The sequence below is a fragment of the Homo sapiens genome, chromosome 22 (assembly GCF_000001405.40).
Source record: "Homo sapiens chromosome 22, GRCh38.p14 Primary Assembly".
In the NCBI taxonomy this organism is placed as follows: Eukaryota; Metazoa; Chordata; class Mammalia; order Primates; family Hominidae; genus Homo; species Homo sapiens.
The window spans coordinates 33644496-33665498 of NC_000022.11; the positions used below are offsets into that span (position 1 = coordinate 33644496).

The window sequence follows — 21003 nt, forward strand, 5'->3', positions numbered from 1 at the left end:
TGGCACAAGACAAGGATGCCCTCTCTCATCACTCCTATTTAACATAGTGTTGGAAGTTCTGGCCAGGGCAATCAAGCAAGAGAAAGAATTAAAGGGTATTCAAACAGGAAGTAAGGAAGTGAAATTCTCTCTGTTTGCAGATGACATGATTATATATTTAGAAAACCCCATCTTCTCAGCCCAAAACTCCTTAAGCTGATAAGCAACTTCAGCAAAATCTCAGGATACAAAACCAAGGTGAAAAAATCACAAGCACTCCTATACACCAATAACAGACAAACAGAGAGCCAAATCATGAGTGAACTCCCATTCACAATTGCTACAAAGAACATAAAATACTGAGGAATACAACTTATAAGGGTTATGAAGGACCTCTTCAAGAACTACAAACCACTGCTCAAGGAAATAAGAGAGGACCCAAACAAATGGAAAAACATTCCATGCTCATGGATAGGAAAATCAATATTGTGAAAGTGGCCATACTGCCCGAAGTAATTTATATATTCAATGCTATTCCCATCAAGCTACCATTGACTTTCTTCAAAGAATTAGAAAAAACTACTTTAAATTTCATATGGAACCAAAAAAGAGCCCATCTAGCCAAGACAATCTTAAGCAAAAAGAACAAAGCTGGAGGCATTATGCTACCTGACTTCAAACTATACTACAAGGCTACAGTAACCAAAGCAGCATGGTACTCCTACAAGGCTACAGTAACCAAAACAGCATGGTACTGGTACCAAAACAGATATATAGACCAATGAAACAGAACAGAGGCCGCAGAAATTAACCACACATTTACAACTATCTGATCTTTGACAAACCTGACAAAAACAAGAAATAGGGAAAGGATTTCCTATTTAATAAATGGTGCTGGAAAAACTGGCTAGCCATATGCAGAAAACTGAAACTGGACCCCTTCCTTACACCTTATACAAAAATTAACTCAAGATGGATTAAAGACTTAAACATAAGACCTAAAACCATAAAAACCCTAGAAGAAAACCTAGGCAATACCATTCAGGATATAGTCATGGGCAAAGACTTCATGACTGAAACACCAAAAGCAGTGGCAACAAAAGCCAAAATTGACAAATGGGATCTAATTAAACTAAAGAGCTTCTGCACAGCAAAAGAAACTATCATCAGAGTAAACAGGCAACCTACAGAATGGGAGAAAATTTTTGCAACCTATCCATCTGACAAAGGGCTAATATCCAGAATCTACAAGGAACTTAAACAAATTAACAAGAAAAAACAAATGACCCCATCAAAAAGTGGCGAAGGTATGAAGAGACACTTCTCAAAAGAAGACACTTATACGGCCAACAAACATATGAAGAAAAGCTCAGCATCACTGGTCATCAAAGAAATGCAAATCAAAACCACAATGAGATACCATCTCATGCCAGTTGGAATGGCGATCATTAAAAAGTCAGGAAATAACAGATGCTGGAAAGGATGTGGAGAAATAGGAACGCTTTTACACTGTTGGTGGGGATGTAAATAAGTTCAATCATTGTGGAAGACAATGTGGTGATTCCTCAAGGATCTAGAACCAGAAATACCATTTGACCCAGCAATCTACTGGGTATATACCCAAAGGATTATAAATCATTCTGCCATAAAGACACACACACGTATGTTAACTGCAGTGCTATTCACAATAGCAAAGACTAGGAACCAACCCAAATGCCCATCAATGATAGACTGGATAAAGAAAATGTGGCACATATACACCATGGAATACTATGCGGCCATAAAAAAGAATGAGTTCATGTCCTTTGTGGGGACATGAATGAAGCTGGAAAACAGCATTCTCAGCAAACTAACACAGGAACAGAAAACCAAACACCACATGTTCTCTCTCGTAAGTGGGAGTTGAACAATGAGAAAGCATGGACACAGGGAGGGGAACATCACACACTGGGACCTGTTGAGGGGCGGGGCAAGGGGAGGGAGAGCACTAGGACAAATACCTAATATATGTGGGGCATAAAACCTAGATGATGGTTGATAGGTACTGTAAACCAACCATGGCACATGTATACCTATGTAACAAACCTGCACATTCTGCACATGTACTCCAGAATTTAAAGTTTAAAAAAAAAAAAGTCAACGAGTTCAAGATCTGAATTCCTATATGACTGTTTTATGTTTCAAGGAACACAGGGATAAAGAAAATTCATCAATCCTATGTGCTGCTCCTTAAAGCAGTGGTTTCCTTTTTTTGTTTTGTTTTGTTTTTTTGAGACGGAGTCTCGCTCTATTGCCCAGGCTGGAGTGCAATGGCATGACCTCAGCTCACTGCAACCTCCGCCTCCCAGGTTCAAACGATTCTCCTGCCTCAGCCTCCCAAGTAGCTGGGATTTCAGGCACCCTCCACCACGCCCAGCTATTTTTTTGTATTTTTAGTAGAAACAGGGTTTCACCATGTTGGCCAGGCTGGTCTGAAACTCCTGAACTCAGGTGATCCACCCGCCTTGGCCTGCCAAAGTGCTGGGATTATAGGCGTGAGCCACTGTGTCCAGCCTAAAGCAGTGGTTTCCAAACAATCTCTCCTATCTTAGAATCATCTGGATATATTCTTTTGTTAAATATCTGTATTCTCAGGGGCTACTCCCAGAGATTCTTAGTCAGTAGGTCTGGGGTAGGTCTCATGGATACACATTTTTGATATGTAATTCTAACACACAACCAAGTTTGAGAACCACCCATGTGACAGACATGGTTCACTGTGACCACAGTAACAGAACTCCAGAATGTTCCAGAAAAACATGGCTTCCTTGAGTAAAATCTATCTGTTCCAGGCTCTCTTGGACCTAGGTGGCAGCTAAGGGTATCCCTGTAACTAAGTTGTGTCAATAGGATCTAAAAGGATCTGAAGTGTGAAATTTCCAAGATACGTTCTTTAAGGAAAGTGGTATGTCCCACCTTAACACTTCTTTCCTGCCAGCTGGAATGTGGACAACATAGCTAAAGCTCTGACAATCATTATGGGTCATGAGATGACCTTGGGAATGTCAATCAAGCAGGCTGGGGTGAAAGATAAAGAAATCCCAATACTGCCATCCCTACACTGATGGCCTCCAGACATCTTAAACACAATGAGAAACAAGATGCAAATCTTGCTTAAGCCAGTGTTAGTTGGGATTTTTGATAACCTGCAGTGAAATCTAAGACTGATACAACTAACTACATTAGAATTTCCCTCAAGTTCCAATATCCATTGTCACCACTGAAATAGTAAAAGGCAGGAACTTGATTTTTTTTTTCTTTTGAGACGGAGTTTTGCACTGTCACCCAGGCTGGAGTGCAGTGGCACCATCTCGGCTCACTGCAATCTCCACTTCCTGGGTTTAAACGATTCTCCTGCCTCAGCCTCCCAAGTAGCTGGGACTACAGATGCGCGCCACCACATCCGGCTGATTTTTGCTATTTTTAGTAGAGACGGGGTTTCACCATGTTGGCCGGGATGGTCTCAATCTGTTGACCCTGTGATCCACCCACCTCGGACTCCCAAAGTGCTGGGATTACAGGCATGAGCCACTGTGTCGGGCCCAGAACTTGATTTTAATCCACAGTTTGCAAATGAGGAAACAGCCACAGAAAAGTGATCTTACTTGCTCAAAGCCACATAGCTGTTAAACTAGAAATGGGGCCAGGATTTAGACTCACAACTCCCAGCTTCAAAAGCCAATGGTCTTTGGTCTACACAATTGTACAGGGGACTCCCAAATTACAATGAGTTATTTCTCAGAAGACTGAGCAGGGGAGTGAAACTCTTGGCTAGAGAGATTACAGAAGGAAGAGAAATGTCCCCACAAACACAACTCTTTTTCTCTTTTTTATGCCTTCTTTTCCCCTTTTCCTTTTTTATTTTTCCCCTCCTCGATTCTTATTTGTTCTTTAGGTTCTATGTCATAATAGTGTAAATACGCTTGGAGAAAAAATTTGCTCGTTTTGGGCCATCTCACCTGGGTAGCAGAGTTCCCATCCAAACTAACCCTTTCTAAACCAACACCATGGCTGTGATCTGCTAGCAGAGAACCTGAAAGAAATCAAATATGCCTTCACCAAGGCAAGAACAGAAGATCCCTAAATTAGGGCCCTCCCCAGACCAGCCAAGACCAAAGGAATTTGTTAACGTGGCTGAATGCCCGTTTTCATACATAGAGATATTAAGTAACAGAAGCCACTGACAGTGGTTGTCAAAGACTAAAGGGCACTGGGCCTGGCATACAGTCAGGGCTGAATAAATGTGCAGCATTTATCACGTCCTGACATTTGTATTTATTTATTTGTTTATCATCTCTCCCTCTACCTCTGATGACAGATGTAAGAACCAGAGGGAAAGGGGTTCTGTCTTTTTTGCTGTTGTTCACTGCTGTTTCCCAACACATAAAACAGAATGAGATACAAAACACGAGTGCAATATGTTTGCTGAACGAATGGATAAATAAATGAATGATGATGATGGAGTAGAACCACCTCCTCGCCCAGGTTCTCTGGGCTTGGCTGAAGGACCAACTTGTGACATCCCGAATCCTGCTATAATGGATGTTTGTTTCACATCGTTCCTACTCATATGACACATTCCTCGTTGGACATCCTCTGTCGGATGCTCTCTACCTCTCCACCAATCCACTTTTCAACCAGGCTTGAGAAACCTGAGAAATGCTCCTATCCTCAGGGGCTCTCCTTGTCCTCCTCCCTCACCACTGAACTTCCAAAGAACTTAGTCTACATCACTGAGGAAGCCATTTGTTAGTGACACTGGATAGTCTCATTGGATAGTATCACCAATATTACTAATAATCCCATTCACTAGAATAGAATACTACAGTTTGCAAAGCATTCTCTTTAGGGAGTTTGAAGTCTAACCACTCTTTATTCCAGAAAATGGAATAAAGAAACAGCAGGTCCTATCTATGTTTAACTAAGAATAGTAAAAACTAACCATAATTTTGAAAATGTACTATGTACTAGGCGCTAGTCAAGCCTTTATATGGCCATTCTGTTTAATTCTCACAAATACTCCATGAAGCAGGTATTATTTCCTAAAGTTTACTGATGAGACACCTGGAGTTCACAGAAGTTATGCAACTGGATCAAGGGTACTCTCTGCATAAATCACTAAAGCTGGGATATGAATTCAGTCTCGCCCATCTCTCAAAAGGCCTTCCTATGAATAGGCATGCCCTAATTCATCTCCACCATGAGAACTGGAAACAATGGGGAATGAGTGTATGTGTGTTCACTGCACATAGAAGCGTGGATGCAGGTATTTGAGGAAATAGAGGACAATAAATATCCCACATTTCCAAAGAGCTGCTAAGAAAGAAAGCATACCCTAAAAGGGGAGAAGTGATATTAGGCTATAAAAGTTCAAATTACTTCTTTAGATAAGGAACAAGTCTGTGGTTCTGAATTGGAGAGGCTGTTTATACAGTGAAGTGATAATGAGGTCTAAGAAAACTGCCCAACTGGGCCACAACTCCAGGTGTACCATTCACACTATAGTCTAAGAAGCAGGGGCCTACAGGATGACAGCTAGGTGTAGAAACCCTGCGCATGTCAAAATGAACCACATAGAAACAAGCGGTAGGTTCCATCAGTGAGCTCCTCTTAATATCTGTAGATTACGCCTTCTTATCCCCATTTTCAGATGGGAAAACAGAAGCTCAGAGAGGCTAAATGACTTGTCAGACCATTGAGCAAAGTTAGCGAGCAAGCCAGACTTACACACCCGGGCTAGAATCAAGAATGCCAGCTCTTGGCATCTGGCTGTGTTTCCAGGAGGCATTTGCAAGGGGTGAGGGCAATCGGGACTTTGGACAACTTCCTCCCCAGGCTCCAGATGCCCTTTACCTCGCATTTCTCCACGACCGGCTGCTGCCCACACTCGGAGCTGTTGCCTGCCACGATGCCAGCCCGAAGGTTCTCGCTGTCTCCAGTGCCCTCCTCCATGGAGTAGGTCTTGGAGTGGTTGCCTCGGCGATGGGATGGGGCTCGGCCCTGGGCCAGGCTGAGCTGCCTGCGGAGGGCGCGGTTCTCCTCCTCCACCTCGCGCATGCGCACCTCCAGGCTCTCGCGCTCCCGCTGGCTGGAGGCCGTGTACCTGGGGCTGTGTGCCTGGGACTCCAGCGGTGACAGAGACACGGGCTTTCCATCTGGGGAGCGAAACACCAGGGAAGCTTTAATCTGGATGAACCATGCCTCAAGCCCCTCCAAGTTCCCCAGACATCCCTTACTACATGGCGAGGCTCCTTGCACAATCCCATGTTTAAGGAAAACAGATGGAAAGTGAGTTACAAATAAACGCATCCAGATTGAACTGGGAACAAAGTTGAGAACAGAACAACTTATTATGGTGATAAAAGCTAATATGCCTTTTAGAGAAGGCAATCATAATAAAATTGTTTCTAATTAAATGCACTGTCTTCCTCTCCCTACTTGGCATGTTTCTAAGTAGGCTTCTTAACAATAAAGAATTATGAATACAAAGTGGGCGGATTGGGGAGAAAGACAAGGGAGGGGAGAAGGAGTACCAGGAAGTGGAGGGGAGCAAGAGGAAGAGAACGAGTAATAAGGAAAAAATAATAGGCCAGGCGCAGTGGCTCACGCCTGTGATCCCAGCACTTTGGGAGGCCAAGACGGGCGGATCACGAGGTCAGGAGATTGAGATTATCCTGGCTAACCGGTGAAACCCGGTCTCTACTAAAAATACAAAAAAAAAAAAAAAAATTAGCCGGGCTTGGTGGCACACACCTGTAGTCCCAGCTACTTGGGAGGCTGAGGCAGGATAATGGCAAGAACCCGGGAGGCGGAGCTTGCAGTGAGCCGAGATCGCACCACTGCACTCCAGCCTGGGCCAGAGTGAGACTCCGTCTCAAAAAAAAAAAAAAAAAAAAAGAAAAAAGATAATAATAATGACTAAGTTTATTGAGCTCTTCCTATGCAAACTCCTATACATCTTTCAAAATCCTGTTTTAAAAGCATCACCTCTCAGGGGAAACCTTCTTCCATTTGCAGGCAAGATATCCTTCCACATATTCCGAAATAATTTGTATGTAGCGCTATGAAAACATGTATCTGCCATACTGTATTTGGTAAACAGCTTTACTAAATGTTGCCTATGAAGACTGGGAGTTCAATGTAGGCAAAGGCGGGTCTTACCTGTCTTTGTGGTTAACATGTCACAAGGTCTGAGAAATGCTGGAAGACTGGATGCATGGCTCCATGCCAAGAATAAAATATTAAAAGCAACAAGGAAAAAAGAAGTAGAAGCATGACCCATCTCATGGTTTTCCCAGAAAAACAGTTAACCATTAAAGTGAGTGCCAGCAACACTCCATGTAACAATCATACAACCCTGCAATAAAAACTGAGGCACGGCCGCGTGTGGTGGCTCATGCCTGTAATCCCAGCATTTTGGGAGGCCAAGGCGGGCAAATCACGAGGTCAGGAGATCGAGACCATCCTGGCCAAGCTAGTGAAACCCCGTCTCTACTAAAATACAAAAAGTTAGCCAGGCATGGTGGCACGCACCTGTATACAGTCCCAGCTACTCGTGAGGTTGAGGCAGGGGAATTGCTTGAACCCTGGAGGCAGGGGTTGCAGTAAGCCGAGATTGCACCACTGCATTCCAGCCTGGCGACAGAGCAAGACTCTGTCTCAAAACAAAAAACAAAAACAAAAACAACACAAAAAACTGAGGCACAGAGACGATAAGCAGGTCTCTCAATGTGATGCCACCACAATGGTGATGTCAGAATTCGCACCCAGGTCTCTCTGATATCTGGGCCTGTACACTCTCCACTTCAATAAACTTTCATTATAGGCTATTCAGAGAGCTAACATTAAAAAAAAACAAACACTTATTAGTATAAAAACCCCATCTCCCAAGGATACTTATATCACCTTGTATAAAGTAGGCGCTCAAGGCATGCTTACTGTTCAGGAGCCCCAGTGGCACAAGGCATACCCAAAGCTATCACTTATTTCTGTTTCCACTCTGCAGAAATCCTGGGCTCCAGCTACATTTACAGCCACCTCAGGGGTTACCAAGCAAAAAAAGCATATCTCTAGAAAATCGTCCTCTCTCAGCTGCCTGTCAAAAAAACATTCCTCTTTTTCCATACTTCAAGTTTTTCCTTCCTGCCCAGACCCCTGAGCTTCAAAACTGTCCCAGAGAGTCTCTGTGACTCACAAACTTGAGGATCAAAGAATGTGATGAATTACACCCTGCAGGTCTCACTTGTGCTTGTGTCGGCCTCTGCCCAGGGCTTTTTGATGTATCTTTGGGCCTTAACAAATATGACTCATTTTTTTTCCTCTTAATCACCTCAGGGTTAAACGCCTAAGTGCCTGGTCTTCTCCTATCAATGCAACAAATATGACTCAATGAATTGCACTGCCTGGGACCACAAATCAAAGGCCGATGCAGAATTGGTAGGGGACGTGAAATCACAGGTTGATTAGGGTTGCATTGTCACCGACTGGCCAATTACAAGCTTCAACCCAAGCTTTTGAAACCTGTCTCCCTGTTTGGTACAACTGAGAATGAAAAAGAATAGGCAGCTATTAATAATTGCGTTTTCTCAACCAACATCGACCCTTTGAGCAGGGGTGGGTAAAGATGAACCTCTGGCTTCCTCGGGAGTTACACCTTCTGTAGTGTCTATCATGGATCTGCACCACGCTAGGTGGTTCATGCTGATAATGCCTTAGGTTGCTATCAGTACAATTAAGTAGTAATAGTTATCCCTATTACTGATGCAGAAACCAAGACTAAAGTTTAAACTGTGTTCCTATTATGTTGCAGTTTGACTGTAAACAAGGTCTCCTGGACTTTGAGCTCAGCTATGCTCCTGCATATATGTGCTAAGTTAGAGGTAAAGACGCTCAGGAGACTGAGAGGGTCTTCCTTCTCAGGAAAGGATTTTGGAGCATTTGGGCAGAAATGCAGGAAGCTCAACAGGGTCTCAGGGTCTCTAGAAAATTAACAAATGGGACCTGTGAGTTTCCTCTTTGGAGGAGTTACATCAGTGCTCTGAGCTTCGATTTTTTCTTCTGTGAAATGGGAACATAAAATGTTCCAGTAAGAGTGATGGGAGGCTTAAGCAAAATAACAAAATACAGAGCATGGTGTCCCTTATTGGGAGGCGCTTGGCATCAGTGAGTTCCTGTGACCCTTTCTCAGTGAGGGAAGGTGATGTCATGGGTAAGATGAGTTGATGATGTAATTTAAGGTGTAAAGCACGCTGTATTTTCAGAACACAGAGTTGTTCTGTGTGTTGTATGGGGGAACAAGCAGTCAACAGACCTTGGCTTCCTTTGAGATATACTCCAAGAGGAGGCACTGCTGAGCTTCCTGCCTTCATCCTTAGCCGGGGTCATGGTTAATCCGTAAGAACATGGAGGAGCAAGCAAGCAGGCTTCACCAAAGAGGCCGGGTCACATTCTCTAGCCCCTCTCCTGAAAGTCCCATATTTTAAACATTTACGTAAATTATGATTGTCTGATTGTGGGCTTAAGAGAAATGCTATCGACATCCTGTGTCCATTTCTCCCCTGCTTTAGACCCCAAATGGTTTTAACCAAATTTAACTCTCAAAGACGTGCGGGGGTTTTCCCACTTTTAAAAGCCCTATAGATTTGTCACCAATGAAGCCACAACTAAATAATTAATGTCAGGTCTCAGAGGAATCAATGTTGAAAAAAGCAACATTCATGCTGTGCCCAACTGCTGGCATGGAGGAAGTGCTCAATTAATGGCAGAATTGTCCTTTCCGGTTTGTTGGTTTGTTTTAAAGGTCCATTATCTTGAGCCGGCCCCTTCCTTTTCCTCAAGCCAGTTTTGCCTTCTGAAAGGCGGGGCCCTGGAGATGTGCTCCGAGTCCCCTCTCAGCTCTAACTCTCCGTAGCTGTGTGGTCCAGATGATCCCAACACCGCATGATCAGAAGTGAATAGTGGGCCCTGCTGCCTTGCCAGATTCACAGCTCATTCTCGTTTTATTCATCCTGACTTTTGCTTTTATTCCTGACTATTCCTTTTTCTGGCTCCTGATCTCTTTGCTCAGGCTTCTCCTGACTCTCTGGGAGCACAAGCAGGAGAGAGGGTCAGGGTAGTGAACAGCCAGCCTCCTTACGTTTCTCTGTTACGTTTTACAGGCACTGGTCCCTCCCAGGAACGCTCCTCAAGCTTTGTGTATAGGTCGTAGTTATACAGCCCATTACATACGATTTTATGGCTATGTAAACAACTGTGCCCACACTGATATTTCTCAAACTACCAGTGGTGAAGACAGCAAGAGAGGCATGGAAGCACAAGGAGCTTGGGTGAAGAACCAGTTTTTCTCCCTCCCCCAGTCCATCCTGGATAAAAATTTGCCCCTAACACTCAAAGGTAAAACAGAGCTTGGCCCACGTGTAACTCATCACTGGAATTAAACAAACTGGTCTACACTACGTTAATCAAGACTATTGATCATACACTTGATGCTGGCCACAAAGTCCATTTGCTCTAGATGTTTCTAAAATGCTTAGTCTCAAGTTCCATATGTATCTTGTTGCAGAGCAGCAACAATTTGAGGATATGGTTAATTTTATGTGTCAACTCAACTGGGCCAGGTGGTACCCAAATATGTGATCAAACATCATTTTGGGTGTTTTTTTTTAAAGGTGTTTTTGGATGAGGTTAACATTTAAATTGGTAGACAGAGTAAAGCAGGTGTCCTCCCCTGGTGTGGGTTGGCTACCTCCCATTAGTTGAAGGCATGAGTAGAACAAAAATGCTGACCATCTTCCACATTCAAGAGAACTCATCTTGCCTGACAGCCATTGAATTGGGACATCATCTTTTTCTTGCCTTCAAACTCAAACTGAATCACCAGATCTTCCTGGGTCTCGAGCCTGTTGGAATTTGGACTGGAACTACACCATGAGATCTCCTGGTTCTCAGGCTTTCGGACTCAGACTAGAACTACACATCGGCTCTCCTGGGTCTCCAGCTTGCTGACTCAACCTGAAGATCTTGGAACTTGTCAGCTTCCATAATCATGCAAGCCAATTCCTTACAATAAACATAGCTGTATATGCACACTCTATTGGTTCTGCTTCTCTAAAGAGCCCTGACAAATAGAAGGACGAACAACGGCCTGCAGATCACACCTTGAGTGGCACCGCCCAATCTCCAGTCTCCATCCCCAGGTCCTGGCATGCTCCCTATACTTAGCAAGCATTTGAGGAAGAGAGAAAGAGAAGAACTAACAACTATAACTTTTTGTTAAAAAAAGGCATAAAATGCCTAGCACATCATAAACTACTAGTTATTTAAAAAGACATCTCATTATAATATTAGATGCTGGGGAAGAGGGAGAGAGAACTGAGAAAAGCAAACAAATCAAGTAGATAAGTAAGAGCATGGGATTTGGAGTAAGAAAGAGCTGAGCTTAAATTATGGTTCTTCCACTTACTAATAAATAACTTAGGCAAAATACTTAACTTTTCTGTGACTCAGTGTCTTATGTAAAATGAGGGACATGGGAGCATAAGCATGAGTGTGTGTGTGTGTGTGTGTGTGTGTACACACACAAATATTACTTCATATCAGGCTTACACAGAGTAGATACTTGTATTAGTCAATTTTCACGCTGCTGATAAAGACATAGCCGAGACTGGGTAATTTATAACAAACAAGAGGTTTAATGGACTCACAGTTCCTCATGGTTTGGGAGGCCTCACAATTATGGTGAAAGGTGAGGGAAGAACAAAGGCACATCTTACATGGTGGCAGGCAAAAAGAGAATGAGAGTGAAGCGAAAGGGGTTTCCCTTATAAAACCATTGGATCTTGTGAGACTTATTCACTACCATGAGAACAGTATGAGGGAACCGCCCCCATGATTCAATTATCTCCCACTGCATCCCTCCCACAACACATGGGAATTATGGGGGCTACAATTCAAGATGAGATTTGGGTGGGGACACAGCCAAACCGTATCAATACTCAAATTCTCTGCTGTTCTCCCAGCCCAAGCCCACTAAAGCTGCAGGCAGGGCACATAAAGGCAGAAGTGGATAGAATCCCCTGCGTGTAAGTGCCTTTACCTTTGTTTCTCTATTACCTTTCCTTCCAGGTTTCTACTCTTTAGATATACACAGTCTATGTATGAACATGATGTATCGTTCTATCATGCAATACGTGTGTGTGTTGATCTGCGGTTCAGCCCACTTTCAGCTTAAAATGTCAAACAAGACATTATTCAAAAACTAAGCTGACAACATCATCCTCCTCCCTGCAAAACTTCTCAACAAACATGAATTTATCATCGACTCTGAATCTCTGAATCCACTTGAGATGAATGTTCTGAATTAAGAATCAAAACATCTAAGATTCAGAACAAAGAAGGTAAATTGAAAATCAACCTCCGTGCAGTGCAGTGACAGAGATTAGGGACTTACCATCCAAAATGTCCTAAGTGATGATCTCAATCAATCTGAATGTGCTGAGTATCTCTGGATCTCTCCAGAGTGCTGGCATCTGGTACTGCATGTGGGATCCACCACTTTGAAATGAATAGGACTGGGACTCATTAATGCAGGCAGGGCCAGGGTCTGGATGGGCCTCCCATGAAGGGGGCTCAGACCCTTTCAGGGGTGACAGACCCAGATCTCTCTAGTCTAGGAAAGCAAACTCTTGCACTTAGTGCCAGATTTCAGGAAAGCTGTCCGGTTGCATCATCCTGCCCGTGATAAAGACACTACATCCCTAACCTTTATATGGCAAAATCTCCCTACGTACAATCTGTCACTAAAGCCTGCCAATTCTTTCTTCCTGATGTTTGAAGCACTTGCTCTTCCCATTTGATTTCAAACATCTCATCCGAAGCCAAGCCTCTTAATCTTATCCTAAAACAGGGGTCATCAAACTTTTTCTGTAAACATCCAGAGAGTCAATGTGCTTTACTTCGCAGGCTATGCTATCTCTGCTTCAAGCACTTGACTGCCATTGTAGCATAAAAGCGGCCATAGAAATACATAACAAATGGCTGTGGCTGTGTTCCAGTCAAATTTTATTTCCAAACACAAGCAGAGGGCCAGATCAGGCATACTTTTTGGCCATAGATTATGGATCCTGTCCTAGAACATTGTGTGGGTCTCCTGGGCTAGTCCCCCTGCCTCTGATTTCTCCCTGTTCCTGTCAGCTCACTCGCAGGTGCCACGGATAACATTCTTCAATCCTATTTCCACCACGTTTGCAGTCTGATAATGCACAAAAACAACTCTATCTACTTCAAGGTCATCCATCAAATTCAACAAACACTTGGTCAGTTCCCCCTGAGTACATGTCCTTGGGTGCTGTGTCTGCATCGTCTCATTTTAATTTATGCAACGCTGTCATGAAGTGGGTATTCTCACTATTTCCATTTGACTAATGAAAAAAAAAAAAGAGAAACAGGCACATGATTTAACTAGTTCCATGTCATCCCAGCAACAATGGCAGAGGGAGAGTCTTGAACCCAGGTTCACTGGCTCCAGATAAATGGCTCTTTCCGCACCGAACCGGAATGTCTCCTATTCAACACCCTCCGAACAAGTCCAGCCTAATTTGTGGTTGCGGTTGTTGTTTCTGCTTCATTCCCTGGTCCCTCAGGCCAGTGGTCCTCAATCTGGGCTTCCATTAAAAAACTTAGGAAACAATATGAATGTGCACAGGTCCCAACCTAGATGAATTCATATAGCATCTCTGGAGGTGGGGGTCTAGTTATCAGCATTTAAAAAAAAATTTTAATTTAATTTTACGGTCCGGGATACATGTGCAGGACATGCAGGTTTGTTACATGGTAAACATGTGCCACAGTGGTTTGCTGCACAGATCAACCCATCACTTAGCTATTAAGCCCAGCATCCATTAGCTACTCTTACTGATGCTCTCCCTCCCCTGCCAACTCCCCAACAGGCCCCAGTGTGTGTTGTTCCCCTACTTGTGTCCATGTGCTCATTGTTCAGCTTCCACTTATGAGTGAGAACATGCGATTTTTGGTTTTCTTTTCCTGTGTTACTCTGCTGAGGATAATGGCTTCCAGCTTCATCCATGTTCATGCAAAGGACATTGTCTCATTCCTTTTTATGGCTGCATAGTATTCCATGGTGTATATGTACCATATTTTCTTTATTGAATCTATCACTGATGGGCATCTGGGTTGATTCCAGTCTTTGCTATTGGGAATAGTGCTGCAATAAACATATGTGTGCATGTATCTTTGTAACAGAATGATTTATATTCCTTTGGGTTTTCAGCATTTTTAAAAACAGCCACTCCCATGGGATTCTCATGTGTAATGAAGGTTGAGAAATGCTGGCTGAGGCATTTCCCCAGACTCTCTAGATTCAAAGGAAGTCTTAGCATTGCCACACTTAATTATAGTATTGCTCTGACCCTGCACTCCATTTCCCTTACACAAGCCTCTACTGTATTCTCTCAGCAGCTTCCATCATGTGACCCAGACCCACATGATTTCCTGGTATTGTAGCTCCTCCAAGCATAGGGCCTGCTTTGCTCCTCGGCATCGCCCTGCTTCCTGGAAGACAGTCTCCTTCAAAAGCAGTTCCCTTCTAGCCCAGCTGCCTGACTATCCAGCTTCTCCGGTTTCTGGTTCCTTTCTCTTGACCAATCACAGGTCACCTTATTCCAATATATGTTTCAATTTTTCATTCTCCATATGAGACTATATTCATTTAGCAATTTGTAATTTTTGTTAGAAAATGCCCTCCTTTTAATTAACATAAAGATTTCACACCCTCATTCAATGCCAAATATCTAATATCATTTGATATTTCAAAGTAAATTAAATATTGCAGCCAAAGTCATTTTAGAAAAATTTAGAAAACTCAGTTTGATCTTAAAAGTTAATTTTGATCATGAGATGTCCACAGGAGAGCTGAGTCTGCCAACGTGTCATCAGCTTTTCTTTTCTAGGCAGTTTATAAGTCACAGCAAGACACAGGTCCAGGCTGAGCCATTTTCTTAAGTTTCAAAAGCATGGAATCAGATTTGCTGTGGGAAGGAAAATGGCAATGATGACACACAAAGGCTGCTCGCTTTTTATGAGGTACACAGGGAATGTTTTGCCCCAAAATTCCCCTAAGTGATTTTCTGGAAGTTATCTTTGGCAACCAAAGCACACTTGAGTTCCAGCAAAGGCCCTGGAGACAGATCTTCTGACAAAGATGGAAGAACAGTTAAAAAAAAAAAAAAAAAAAGGAGAGTTCCTCACTAGCTTCTAAAAAGAATTTGCAACTACAGTGCCAGGGAAAGAGGCCTGGATTCACTGCACCATAATAGGCTGAATGAGATCTGACTTTTGTCTTCCATAAAATCATTTCCAAGAACGTTAGCTTAAAGAGCTTCATTAAGTCAAGAAAATGAAGACATTTTTAGCACCAATTTGCTGTACCTATACCTGGGTTTAGACTACAAATGCTTGAAGTGTGTTCTAACGAGCAATGATACCAGTTTTTGTCTTTTGAAACTTCAGGTTCAATGATTTCAAAGCTTCAAATGTTTTGTTGTGTGTGTGTGTGTGTGTGTTTTTTTTTTTTTTTTTTGCCAAATATGCTAAGTTTTGAAAGTTGGAGGCAGTTGGTCTTTGAACTGCTGTTACCATGGTGGGGCAACCATGTCTTCCTGCTTCTATAACTGGCCCGTCATATACTCAAGGAGTCTGAGTATGGACAAAAGGGCTTTGTTAGTAGCATTCAAATCGTCACCAACCAAGGCCAAAAAAGATAATGTATTTAGTGCTCTGTTTCCTAGAAAAATGGAAGGACTTGACAGCAGAGTGAAGGTCTTCTCTTAGATCACCAGGTGGTTTAGAAAACCGTCATTGGAGGGTAATGATAACAGTGTATACTAGAAAAGGTGAATAGATATTCACCGCAAATCCTGACAATTGATCTGTGTGTGAGAGCACAATAAATTCACATTCCAGTCATCTTTGAAGAGCCTCTGCCCCCAGTTAGCCCCTAAACTTCAATCACTTTTACACAGCCTTGAAGGCATCACCAGCGTTAGTGACGGTCTCCAATGGTTGAGTCTGAGAAAGCATCCTTTCTCCTTCCCCAGTTTCTTGAGTCCTATTTCATACATATGCAATAGTTGGACACAATCCCCTTTGTTGGTAGATTCATCAAAACTAAAAGCTAAACAACCATAACGATTTTATCCTTTGCAAAGCATCAACTGAGTGTCCTCAATGTGGCTATTTACTATAAAATCAAATGCAGAAATACTATAGAATTTCTTAATTTTCTCTTTAGCAGCACTCAAGATGAAAGATTTCATAAGTGTTTTTTCCACTGATTTAATTTTTTAAAACCTTTGCAATAAATGTGTTATTTGATATGAAATATTCATAGCCCTTATAAAATCCCACTAAAATGTTCCAAGAGTGAGGCGAATCACACGTGCTAAGAATCATATTTTACAGTAAAAATTTTTAATGAGGTTTGATTTTTTTTTTTGTAGCTAAAATCTTGTTCAAATCAGAAGACCCACATGGGATGATTTTTTAGCAAAGATTTTCAATTTTATTTTGCATTCATCATACTGAGTATGTTGAAAACTATCCTTTTCTCACTTTGTGAATCTATACTTGCTGTAAGCCTCAAACTGTCATTCTGGTTGGCCATATTTATTACCAAAAAAGGTTCTATGATTTTTTTTTTTTTTTTGAGCCAGGGTCTCGCTCTGTTGCCCAGGCTGGAGTACAGGGGCTCAGTCTTGGCTCACTGCGACCTCCACCTCCCAGGTTCAAGCGATTCCCTTGCCTCAGCCTCCCAAGTAGCTGGGATTACAGGCGCGCCACCATGCTTGGCTAATTTTTGCATTTTTAGTAGAGACGGGGTTTCACCATGTTGGCCAGCCTGTTCCTCGAACTCCTGACCTCAAGTGATCCATCTGCCTCAGCCTCCCAAAGTGCTGGGATTACAGATGTGAGCTTCCGCACCTGGCATTTCTGTGATTTTTTTTTTTTAAATGAGGAGCACTGACAATAATGTCTGGTTTGGGTTACAGAGGATGAAAGATTTCAATGGCAAACAGCAGCTATTTGAGGATGCCAGACAAATCAGCAAAGCCCTGACCCCATTCATTCCTGCTCCTTGGGCTTCTGTGCCCCTCCTGCTTCACTTGAGAGGAGAAATATCCAAGTGAAATTCAGATCTACAGAGAAGAGTTAGGGACTCTCATCAAAAAGGATCCAACAGAATGATGACCGTACATCATGAGTGTGTCTTTAATTGGACTGCATCAGAATTGAACTATGGTGTTCTGCTGTCCTCGGGAGGGAGGGGGACTACCAGATAACCCACTCAGACTTTGATATCCTTCTCTGTATTTGGAAGACAGTTGTTCCATGAATGTCTTGGGACTGTAAGAAGAAAACTGAATGTGAAACATGACTAAAAATCTAGAGCAGGGGTGTCCAATCTTTTGGCTTCCCTGGGCCACACTGGAAGAAGAATTGTCTTGGGCCACACATAAAAAACACTAACACTAAGGACAGCTTAGGAGCCAAAAAAAAAAAAAAAAAAAAAAAGGAAAAGAATCTCATAGTGTTTTCAAAGTGGCCAAATTTGTGTTGGGCCACATTCAAAGCTGTCCACAGGTTGGATAAGCCTGGTCCAGAGAGTGTTCTTTAGGCTATGCGTCAGGTAGAATGGTCAGTTTGCCTATCTGACCACTGCCCTTGAAATGGTGCACCTGCCAAACCTGAGCAAAAGTTCTCTTCCCTTATACTGCATGTAAGCAAGATCAACATGGGAGGAAAGGCCCTGCCCCATCTTTTCAGGAGCCCCAGCATCAGTGAGGATGGACTTGACTTGCACCATATTCTCGGGGCCCTCTGACATACCCCATCTCCTCTACAGTCAACTGGCTTTGAGACAAATCACCGCCCTTCATCCAAACTCCCCACCCCTTGCCTAGCCTTCTATGGAGACCACCTGCTATGCAAGCCACACTTCACCAGAAGTGTCCAACTCTGGCCTGCAGTGTTCACTCTTCGATAGTGGAACCAGATGAGAGACAGAAATGATGGGGCTGGTAAAAAGAGGAATAGAAAGAGCTAGTTATCAAAGATAAGGGGGACTCTGTACTTGTTAAAGTTAGCAGTGGCAACATAGCCATCCAACGGCATGAGTAGCTGCCATCCAGAATATTCTAACCCATTCCAAAAAAAAAAATGGAAGCAAGTACTTTTGTGAATGTCATTGATTCCTTCAATGGCATCCCCCTGCTGTAAAATGCCACTTCACCTAAATCAGTGTTATCTTCCTCAGCTCCATTGTAAATTAAAAACAAGAGAAAACAAGCAAAAGCCTGGCTGGACATTCCTTTGCCTGTAAGTGACTGTCCTCCTTTTTCCTATCTTCTTTTCCTTCTTCACAGTAGTGTCCAACCACCCTTTATCAGTTTGACTTACATTAAAGTTATATTCCAATTCCAACAAGTATCTATATTAGAAAAAGAAATAAGAGGAGGAAAATGAAAAAAAAAATCACCTCTTTTTTCACCCTTTCCTGACAAATCCAAACCATCCCTTAGGAGAAAATCAGAATGAGGAATGAGGTTTTATCGAAACCGATCAGGGAGAGAGGGGAATAGAAGATTTCATCAGGAGTTCAGCTTGACAGAAATAACGCTTTATTGGGATGGGCACTTGGCAAAGATAACATGTTACCAAGAGCAAGATAGATGTTTGGGTAAAATCTTGTGTTAATACTTATTAAGGTCAAAACCCGCCATCTCTACTTTTGACGGACGGGTATTTTCTTCCAAGTCCTACACCGGAGAGTTTTTATAAGGTGCTTCCAGCAGTCTTATAAAAGTAAGAAGAATAAAACTAAGAACCCTCAACTCAATACCACTATAAGGCAAAGTCAGGATTTTCCTCTGCAAGCTGAGAGGAATGATGCGCTTGAGTGCAGGAAGTAACAGGTGCAGAGGACCAAGGGGAAGCCTATGATGGTGAAGCCTCCAGTACAGGATCCCAATTTCTGACCCCAAAAAGAAAAGCCCCTTGCAGGACAGAGGCCCACCTGAGGGACTGATCTCAGAGACAGTGTCAGGATGGGGATGACGCGGCTGATTGGCCAAGAGGATATCCTGGTTCAAGCCTTGCTAAACTTTCTGAAATTGCTGGTGAAATCTACTGCACTTTATACTTCCATCTTTTGGCTCTGAAGAGTCCTCAGTGGACCAACGATCTTCACCAACAAGGATTTCAGGAGCCCCTACATATACAAGCCCTGTGCCAAGTTCCTGAATGCAGGGCTGGCAGTTGGAATAAGCATTAAAAATGTTGTATTATTTCCTTTGCATGTTTTGTCATTTGGTGAATTACCATGGACCCTCCAACACCTGGCTCAATAATTTCTTCTAGGAACCCTTCTCCAATCTGCCCAGGGTGAGTTGGCTCCTTCTCTTCTTTCACCATCCTTGGATTTCCTACTACCTTCCACAACGTAGATAAGGTAGTGGCTCTCACCCCATGTGTAACAGCTCTTTATGCCACCTCCATTGTCTCAACACGTCAACTGAACACCTGTTCAGGGCAGGAGCCAGGCTGAATCACCTGTGCTTCCCAGTGCCTGGCACAACGTGTATACACCGTGGCCATTCCTACACAGCCACAACACTGTGGAAGGAGATGATGACTTAGGAGTCCTTTCATGTCCCCACATCCAAACCACAGCCTTGGATTTCCACCTCCAAAACCTTCTGCTTCTTTTCTCAGCAAATGTCATCACTTTTGCTCCCCACTGCACAGGCCAAAAATCTAGGACTCACTCCTGAATTTCTTCCCTCATGTCCCACATGTATGTCATTAGCAATGTATTGCAATGTTGGTTTGATCTTAAAATATACCCTGGATACAAACACTTCCCCACAACCCCCACCACTATGACCCCAGTTCTGGGACCTTTTACCTGGACTCACTCAATAGCCACCTAACAGGCCACTCTGCCTCACTCATTCTACTTGTCACTCACAGCCAGATGGCCTTTAAAAATGGCTATCAGGGCCGGGCACAGTGGCTCATGCCTGTGATCCCAGCACTTTGGGAGGCCAGTGTGGGCGGATCACAAGGTCAAGAGATCAAGACCATCCTGGCCAACATGGTGAAACCCCGTCTCTACTAAAATACAGAAATTAGCTAGGTATGGTGGCACATGCCTATAGTCTCAGCTACTCGGGAGGCTGCGGCAGAAGAAACGCTTGAACCCAAGAGGCGGAGGGTGAGCCAAGACTGCGCCACTGCACTCCAGCCCGGTGACAGAGCGAGACTCCATCTTAAAAAAACAACAACAACAGCAACAACAACAAAAAAACTGGTTATCAGACCACATGTCTATCCTGTTCGAACCCAGGGCTTTGAACCTGCCTTCCCATCAACCACAGTTATCTTTCCGACCTCAAAATGCTCCTCTGCTCCCTGGGCACCAGCCATGCCGGCCTGGCATATGCTCCTGGGATACATAGCAAGCACTCTCCCACTCAGGGCTTCTACACTTGCTGTTGCCTCTTCCCTCGTTCATTAGGAATCTGCTTAAATATAATACCATTCTTCAGAGCAGCATCTGTAAGCCAACCTTTAAAACCCCATCTCTGCCCATCCTGAGGCCACAGTGTTTCTTTCACTCTGTCCCCTGGTTTATTCTTCTCCACTCCACAAATCACAACACTCTCCTCAAGTATAAACGTATCTGTTTCCTTTTTATTTGCCTGTCTCCACCTCATGAACACAAGTTCAATGGTAGCAGAGTCTTCTGTGGATCTGTTTCAACAACAGTATCTCCAGGGTCTGGAACCAAGCACACAGTAAGCACTCAAAAGACACATCTTGATACTAAATCAAGAACGCAGGTGAATACAAGCAACTTTTGCAACAGTTCAGTGATGAGAATCGGATTTCAAATGAGGATCAAGATTAGGG

The 21003-nt window shown here is 43.2% G+C and overlaps 1 protein-coding gene across 22 annotated transcripts in view; it reads right to left on the minus strand.

The window, feature by feature from the left end:
* Positions 1-21003, minus strand: part of LARGE1 (LARGE xylosyl- and glucuronyltransferase 1) — an 856162-nt gene that overhangs the window by 577833 nt on the left and 257326 nt on the right. For all 22 annotated transcript variants that reach the window (XR_007067993.1, XR_002958722.2, XR_007067994.1 and 19 more), the window contains one exon: positions 5872-6173. Coding sequence is in view for 19 of the 22 variants with exons in the window: in XM_024452302.2 (XP_024308070.1) it covers positions 5872-6173 (302 nt within the window). In the remaining 3 variants the exon portion in view is untranslated. The remainder of the gene's footprint in view (positions 1-5871; positions 6174-21003) is intronic.